Source organism: Homo sapiens, chromosome 11 (assembly GCF_000001405.40).
Source record: "Homo sapiens chromosome 11, GRCh38.p14 Primary Assembly".
NCBI classification, from domain to species: domain Eukaryota; kingdom Metazoa; phylum Chordata; class Mammalia; order Primates; family Hominidae; genus Homo; species Homo sapiens.
In genome coordinates this window covers 120,102,939-120,111,285 of record NC_000011.10, presented here as the reverse complement: position 1 = coordinate 120,111,285, position 8,347 = coordinate 120,102,939, and the positions used below count along the sequence as shown (strand labels likewise).

General features: G+C 53.7%; 1 annotated feature.

Annotated features, from left to right (window-relative positions):
- Positions 2,790 to 2,839: an enhancer, noted in NCBI's record as "active region_5635". NCBI's record gives its function as "activates an Ori minimal core promoter by ATAC-STARR-seq in GM12878 lymphoblastoid cells {active_cell/tissue: GM12878}" and the evidence as "EXISTENCE:reporter gene assay evidence [ECO:0000049][PMID:35858748]".

The following is an 8,347-nucleotide window of genomic DNA, read 5'->3' as shown; positions in this document are numbered from 1 at the left end:
CTTCTCTTGTATTGAATGACCATTTCCCTGAGGGTCCCCAGAGGAACAGGCTGCAGTTCTTCTGAATGCACTTTTTCCCTCTGATGAAGGCACGGTCATCTTCCTGCTCTCCTCTCAGAAACGTGGCTCCTTTGAAACTCCCTTGACCTCCCTCACCCTGTCTGGGACACAGGGGGTGCAGTGCAGGAACCTGGGCCTCAGGGAGGCACGCCTTGGCTAACAATGAACACAGGGAGAATGACAGTGGGGTGTGGGCCTGGGGATATGCTCAATACCTTCTGCCATGCTCAGACCTTCTGGCCGGCCCACCCTAGAGTTCCCAGGGGGAGAAGGGCCCAGAAGTGGCTGGGAGCCAAGCACTCTGGTGCTCAGACGCAGGCTGGAGTGGAAGTCCACTGGAGGCTTCAGACCTGAGGGCCTTCTCAGTGCACAGAGGGCCTTCTGGGAAGGAGAGCTCCCCTTTGAGGCTGGCAGGAGGGTCAGGCTCCTGAAGACAGCATCATCCTGGGCTTGGGGGACGGAGGAAAGGGAAAAGGCCTTCCAGTCCCTGGAAACTCAGAGAAGCCTGGAAGGAGAGTCAGGGAAGTCTTCCTGGAAGAGGTGAGCAAGCCAGGAGGAGGCATGATGGTAGAGAGGGAAGAGGGTGTCAAACAACCACATTCTTTTTCCTGGTGTGGCAGGGACACCCGGGCCCCTCTGTTCTCACTGTTCTTCCTCACTCTGCTCCCCACCAGGGGCCTGATGACATCAGGGGAGCAGTCCCTCTGTCCTAGTAAAAGTCCCTAAGCAAGCTGGCTGCTGGTCCATCGTGGAGGGACAACACTCTTCCTTCCTCCTCTCCACGCTGCTGGGCCAGGGAGCTTTAGGAGCCAAGCAGCCAGGCTTGCCACGAAGGGGCTCTTGGGATTGAGAAAGTGAGGGAGAAATGGCAGAGAAGAGAGAGAAGGGGGAGACAGGAGGGTAAGGGTGAGAAAGGAAAGGAAGGAGAAGGGGCCAAGTGTGTCCATGGAGGACCTTCCAGCACTGTCAAGAAGAGAGACCACAAGTTGGACCCACATGCTTTGGCCACCTGGGTGGTGTTCTCCCTTGGGAGCTGGGACTGCAGAGTGTCCCTGGGGTTAGTTGCTGCTCCCTACAGCCCCCTGCCCTGGGTGCTGGTTCCCTACGTGGTGCCCCAGCAGGTCCACCTCTGTGGGCACCGTGCCCTGCAGCCTCCTGGCCCTTCTTGAGGACCCTGGGGTTGTGATGGTGATAAGGACCCATTCCTGGGCTCCAGAGATGCCCGGACTCTCAGAAAGACCCTGGCCACGAGAGGCTCCCAGTTCTCCAGGCCCTGCCCTAAGCCTACCAGCTCCAGAGAAGGGGAACTGGATGGGACACCAGGTCTGGCTAAATTCCCCTGTGGGGGCAGCCAGGCCCTTGCCTGTCCCATGCCTGGGCTGCACCAGGGGCTGCACCTGCTGCACAGAGGCTGGCTGGTGGGATGTTGGGAAGACCGCTGTGTCAGGAGGCCCAGGGCTGTGCTGGGAACTGGGCGGGGACGTCGCTGAGCATCACACTCTCCCCATCAATCCCCACCAGGTCCATTATCGTCTGAGCTGTGATTATAAAGCAATCAGGGAAATCCTTTCTTCCCAGTTCTTGAGAATGCCTCTGTCCCCAGCATGAGTGAGAATAGGAGGTTTAATCCTCCTATTAGGGAGGAAGGAGGGGGGCAAGGCTCTATATCCACTTCTGTTCCTCTCAGACCCAGACAGTCCTGGCCCATGCTCCCTTGTCTCCTGCCCTCTCCCAGCTCTGGGCGTTGGGTGATTCTCAGAGGTGTGGGTAGCCCCCTGGCAGACCAGCGAGGAGGGAGGCAGCAGAGGGGCTCAGCAGGGAGCTCTGGCAGGGTAGTTGGGAGCCCTGAGTCTCATCCAGGCTCTGTTGCTTGGCTGTGTGATCTGGGCTAATTGCTTGCCCTTTCTGGGTCTGACCTTCTCCATCTACAAAATGAGGTGTATTCATTGGATCATTTCTGGGGTTCTTTCCCAGCTCCAACAGCCTGTGAGGTGGAGACCACAGCAAAAGGAGGGTTGGAAGGGACAGGAACATTGAGCTTGGTGTCAGGTTGGGAATCCACCATCAGACCTGGGCTGATAGGCAGGCAGGTTGGACTCCCAAATCTCCAAGGCTCCCTGTACCCAGCCCCGTGCCTCTCCTTTCCTTTAGACCCTGTCAGGGGCATGGGTCCCCATCTGAGAAGCCTTCTCTGTCCAGGACGGGGGAAGGCTGGAGACGCAGGAGCTTCTGAGCTCTGCTCTGGGCCTCAGGACCTGCTGGAATGTGGACTCCGTGATAGCAGGGGTTATTCCATCATGTTGTCCTAGAACAGTGCCTGGCACGTGGGCGGGCCTTGGAGGCTAAGAAGCAGTTAACTGGGAAGAGGAAGTGGGAGAGGAAGGTGAAAAAATCAAAAGGGGAGCTGGAAGGCATCCAATAATGGGTGCCTGGTACATTTCATTGTGTGGAGAGCTGAGGCATAGGCTTCTGAGGGCACTGTGTGGAGCTGGAGCCACACTGTCAGGGCCAGAATCCTGGCTGCACTGCCCATCAGCTGTAAGACCAGGGCCAAGCTGCCCACTCTGTCTGAGCTTCAGTGGGGATAACATCTTAAAGGACTGCTGTGAGCAACAAAAAACTGCAAAGAACCTGGTTTAGCAAGGGCCCAACAGTTGAGAGATTATACTATTATTATTGTGGAATTAACAACAAAGACAATGACGACATTTCAACCTGGGATGAAGCTTGATTTCCCCTCTTTTTGGCCTTCTGCACTTGGTGGAGAGTCACAGGGTGGAAGCTGCTGGGCCCAGCCCTAGGACCCGCACCAGGGCTCCTGCAGTTCTGAGGCACGGCCAGCAGGTGACAGCATTTCACTGCAGTGAGTGGGCGCCAAACTCCTGCCCCAGCCCGGGCCGTCAGGACTGGGTCCCAGGGCCCTTCTACAAGGTGAGCCTCTCTCTCTCTCCTCCTTCCCCCACTTCTGTATTAGCTGAGTAGGCCCTTCTGTCCTAGCCTGTAGAATATATGACCCCAGGACAGCAGTCCCCTGGTCTGAGCAGCAGATAGGGGCTTACTGCTCACCCCACCAGACCTTGCCTAACCTGGCATGGAATTCTGCAGAAGGGGCAGGCTTCCCTTATGTGGGTGCCACCTTTGGGTTCCCTCTGCAGGTAGCTGGCCTGAGGAGGGGGCTGGGTGGGCACAGAAGGCTCAGTTTTGCAGCCCCCAAAGAGGGCTTGCATGAGTCGGACAGGGCTCTACCCAAGGCAGCTCTTGGTGAAGAGTGAGACAGAAAGCCAGAGTCCTCAAAGTCCAAGGGGGAGGGGACACTGAGGGGCTGCGAACTGCCAAGCTGCTTGACTCTTGTCCCCCTTCCGTGTCCCGGCTACGACATGGGGACCTTTGTCCCTGCCTCCTGATGGACCATGGAGAGAGGTCAGAAGGGTAACAGGTGGGACCCCAGGAATGCCTGTCCAGAGGGGCGGGGGCTGGATGGCTGAGGCAGGGCCATCTCATATCCCACCTCCCTTTCCCACCAAACCCTCAAATCACCTCCCAAGAGTGACCCAGACAGTTTTATCTTTCTGAGTATTGACTATTAAGGTTGAAAATGATCTGTTGTTCAGCCACAGAAACAAGGAAGATAAACACTAATTGCTTGGTGAATGTGCCAACTCCTGGCTCCTAATTCATCACCTTGCCAAGGCAGAGGCTAAGAAGAGGCAAAGGAGTGGGGAGGGGGTGAGGAAACTTGGGAACCAACAGACTCTCTTGCAAGATGTGGCAGTGGATGGGTGACCTCAACCCAGCGGATGAGGATGGTGCCTGGGATCCCTGAAGCTCCCCAGGAAGGACAGGGAGCCAGGTGAGGGAGGGAGGAGAGGTCTTTGGCCGGGCTTATCGTTATCAATACATTCATCCCAAGTGGACATATAACGTGTTTCCTCGTTGGCCTTGAGGTTGGCTCTGGTTAGCAAATTCTGCATTTTTCTGAGGTTGGTCCCATTATCATGTTAAGATCCTGAACTGGCTGAATTGAGGGGCTGCAAACCCTGTTACGGATTGGTAACTTGCAGGATTCAGATCTGGCTGTGGAAGGTGGAGCCCTGAGAGCTTGTCTGAGAAGGAGGCGGCATATTCTTTGAGGGTGAGGTGTGGGTCTTTGATGGTTCAGGTGTGGACCTGCCTGGAGTGGGGACTGCACTAGGTGACCTGAGCCCAAGACTGGGGGCATTGTACAGGCCTAGGGGGGAGAGAGGTGCACAGATACCTGATGAGGAGCAGGAATGGAGGCGTGGCTCGGGGGAGGCCTGCATTCATTCAGATTTTTGTGTTGGACCAAGATCTAAGCACAAGATATAGGAGACACAAGCTGCCTCTCTGCATGAATTCACAAGACTGGGCCTGTGAGCTGATCCAGAAGGTGATCAGAGCGTGCAGGGCCCAAAACGGTGATGAGGAGGCATGTCCCCTGAGGAGGGGACAGCTGTGCTGAGAGTGAGTTGAGAAGATCTGGGGGGACCTGAGTGAGTTCTGCATGTGTGAGAAAGGCAGGGCAGGATCATGCCGGGCTACATAGGGGCTGAGCTTTACCGTAAACACAGTGACCACCTCCATGGGAGGGTGAGTAATCAGATCAGTGCTCTAAGAAGAGGACTCAGGAATGAACCGAGGTGAAGCAAGAGTGGAGGCCCAGGTGCGCTATACTGGTGGCTTGAGACATCATTGATGGGACCGACTGTGGCAGGTGGAGACGCTGGTGGCATTGCAGGTGCAGGAGCAAGCAAAGACACAAGCAGGATGTGCAGAGGATGCAGGGTTTAGGAAACAGTTGAGAGCTAAGGGCCAGTGAGTGGAGGAGGGGAGTTGGAGAGTAGGTCCCTGTTGCAGGAGCACTAATGCCAGAGAGGGAGACTGCAGCACAGCTGCCATGGGCTGAGGGGGGCGGAACTGCCATGAGGTGGGTGTGGAAGCAGGGAACACTCTTGGGGGATGATACAGTCCCAGAGATCATCCTCTGTCTGTGCCTCTCTGAGAGAGGCAATGTGCCACTCTGTACCTGACCTGACTTGGCTGGGTCAATAGAAGAAGCTACTTACGCTTCCTTACCCTCAGTTTTCTCATCTGCCAAATAGGGCTAATCATAGTGACCGTATGGGTTTGTAAGAGGATCAAATGAAAGGAGGCAAGTAAGTGTTTCACAGTGCCTGGTGCATCATCACTTGATAAATAGGTGCCTGATGCATGGTGGAGAGCAGGACACAGGGTCCTTTCCCTGCCTCAGGCACTTCTTCCCTGACTGCTGCTTTTGTTGCTGGTGGTGATGGCAGAATCTAATCCCTGGCATTTCAGGGAGGGCCTGCTTAGCTCCTCGAGGCCACCTGGCTCTGGTGTCTGGGTCCCTCCTTCCCTGGTGGCCATGCAGTCATGGGTCCTCTGGGCTGCATCTGGCAGGAAAGCCAGACTGCAGGAGGAGTGGAGGCTAATTCTTCTCCTCCCAGTGGCAGACCAGCCGCTACATGCATGGGTGGCCGGGGTAATTAATTTACACATTTTATCCTGCTTAAACTAATAAGCTTCTCTAGCTTCCTCCACTGAGCCCGAGCCTTCGAGCTGAGCCTGCCAGAAACGTTATCCTGCCCCCCAGGAAGTCTGATGGGGCTTACAGTTGTCCTGTGGGCTCGGGCCAAGGCTCCCAGGCCCTGTGTCCACACTTCCGAGGCTGCTTATTTTGGCCGCTCCTAGCCTGCTGGTCCAGGTATGCCACAGAGGCATCTTAAGATGCCAGTCAACACTGCACACCCTGATGGAAAAGCAGGACTTGGGAGCCCATCCTTCCAGCCCCCTGCCCCACAGCCTCCCGCTCCTGAAGTAGCAGGGTCTGGCTCCAGGACGCCTGGGAACACAAAGTCCTCCTCCATGTAGTGAAAAAGAAGTCTTTAAGACAGGTTGTGGAGTGAAGATAGTGACGTGGGAATAATGTGTGACGTAGCCGCTATTTTCTTGAGAAAGGAAGAAACGCACATCCACATTTGCTTGCATGAGGATAAAGCCTCCTGGATGGGTGTACAAGGAACTGGCTACTCCTAGGGAGGAGCTGGAGAGCTGCAAGGTAGGGCGGGAGGGAGACTTTCCCCGTGGACCCCTTTGTACCTCTTGAGTCTTGAAGGCTGTGAATGTATCACATGTTCAAAATGCATCAACTGTTGGAAAATAAATACAAACACGATGGAAACCCCATCTGTGCAGCACATGTTTAGTGGGTGCCCCTCTGTGCCTGGGAGCAAGGGTGTGAGAGAGCAGGCCATGCTCACACCTTTCAAAAGAGTGAGGGGAGAGGAAGAGAGGTATGTCCGTGATTATAATCATCATTGGTGAGTTCAATGCCAGAGGAAGCCTGGAGTCCTCTGGGCTCACAGAGGAATCCAAGTGGGTAGTTAGAAAGGGCTTCCTGGAGGAAGAGATTCTTGAGCTGTTTCGAAGGTAGCATAAGAGTTGACTGGGTGGAGAAGGGAGGGAAGGTTTGGATGAGATTGAAGTGTGGGTTTCTATTCTGACTGCCAAAACCTGTGGTGCCTTTGGGTGTTAGTCTTCCCATTCATAACATAGGAAACCTTGGTTCAGGGAGCCAGGCAGGAAAGTAGTTCCAGCCCCTAGAATTTCAGCCCTCAGCTATCCCTCTGAAGCCGCTGTGGGCACCCTAGTTCTGTGCAGGCTGCTGCTTCCCAGAGAGGTGCTCTTGCTAGCTGAGGACAGCGGGCCAGCCCCTTCCGGCTGCTTCCCCTACTTATGGATTCGTCTTGTATGCTCCGATTCCAAATCCTGCAGGATTTAATATCCACTCTGTAATCTACTGGCACCAATAGGCATTATCTAACTAAACCTTAAATTGAAAATGCTAGGCTTCTATTTTCCCCGCGCCGTCGGGAGAAGTTGGGACTCTCTTCGTCCAATGTAATTTACTCTTGCACTAATTAAAGTGCGTCACTCTGCTGTCCTCGAAGGCACGCAGCCTGCCCCCGACAAGGAATGCAGCTGGGGCAGACGAGGCAAAGCAGGGGCTGGGTGGGCTGGCCAATCTAGGGCTGCAAGATGGTTCCTGCATCCATCCCAAGTGCCTCTTGCTTTAAGGCCATTTCATTTCCTGAGAGATTGAGAGTTCACTTGCTGTAATATTCATTCATTCATTCACTCACTCATTCACTCCCTACCTCCCTCCTGCATTTATTAAGCACTCAAGGCAGGCACAGAAATAAAAGCTGCTAAACATACGGTCAGGCTCTTCTCTCCAGCCCCTTCCCCAGTGTTGTGAGGGTTTCACAGGATGCAGGTTCCCAGGCCACATCAGCTCGCAGAGCAACCCAGGGATGGGGAGCAAGAACAGCTAATGTTACAGATGCTTCCTTTCACCCAACATTATTTAAATAACTCTGTTTTTTTAAAAATGAAACTTCTTATTTTGAGATCACTGTAGATTCACATGCAGTTGTAAGAAATAATAGAGATCCAGTGTGCCCTTTGCCCAGTTTCCCCCAATATTAACATCTTGCAAAACTATAGTACAAGATCATGACCAGGAAATAGACGCTGACACAGTCAAGATGCAGACTGTTCCGTCACCACAAGGATCTCTCCTGTTGTCTCTTCATAGGCACTTTCCCCCTTTCTCTTCTTTTCTGACCCCTGGCAACCATGAATCTCTGTTTCTATAATTTTGTCATTTTAAGAATGTCACAGAATCATTTAACCTTTTGGGATAGGCTTGAATAACTCATTTAATGCTTTTTTTTTTTTTTTTTTTTTTTTGAAGGAGTCTTACTCTCTTGCCAGGCTGGATTGCAATGGCGCGATCTCGGCTCACTGCAACCTCCACCTCCCAGGTTCAAGCGATTCTCCTGCCTCAGCCTCCCAAGTAGCTGGGACTACAGGCGCACACCACCATGCCTGGCTAATTTTTGTAGTTTTAGTAGAGACAGCGTTTCACCAAGTTGGCCAGGAGGTCTTGATCTCTTGACCTCGTGATCCGCCCACCTCGGCCTCCCAAAGTGCTGGGATTACAGGCATGAGCCACTGTGCCTGGCCTCATTTAATTCTTATAACAACCTGATGAGCAAGGTCAGCGTCAGTGTCTTCATTTTACAGACATACTAGTTGAGGCCAGGGCAGTGAAGTAACTTGCAGAGACAGGATTTAAGCTCAGGTCGTCCTGACAGTAAACCGGGCTCTCAAGTCTCTTCAATGTAACACTGATTGCAGGCACTGCTTGAACTGATGGCCCTCAGTCCTCCATGTGTCAGATTGA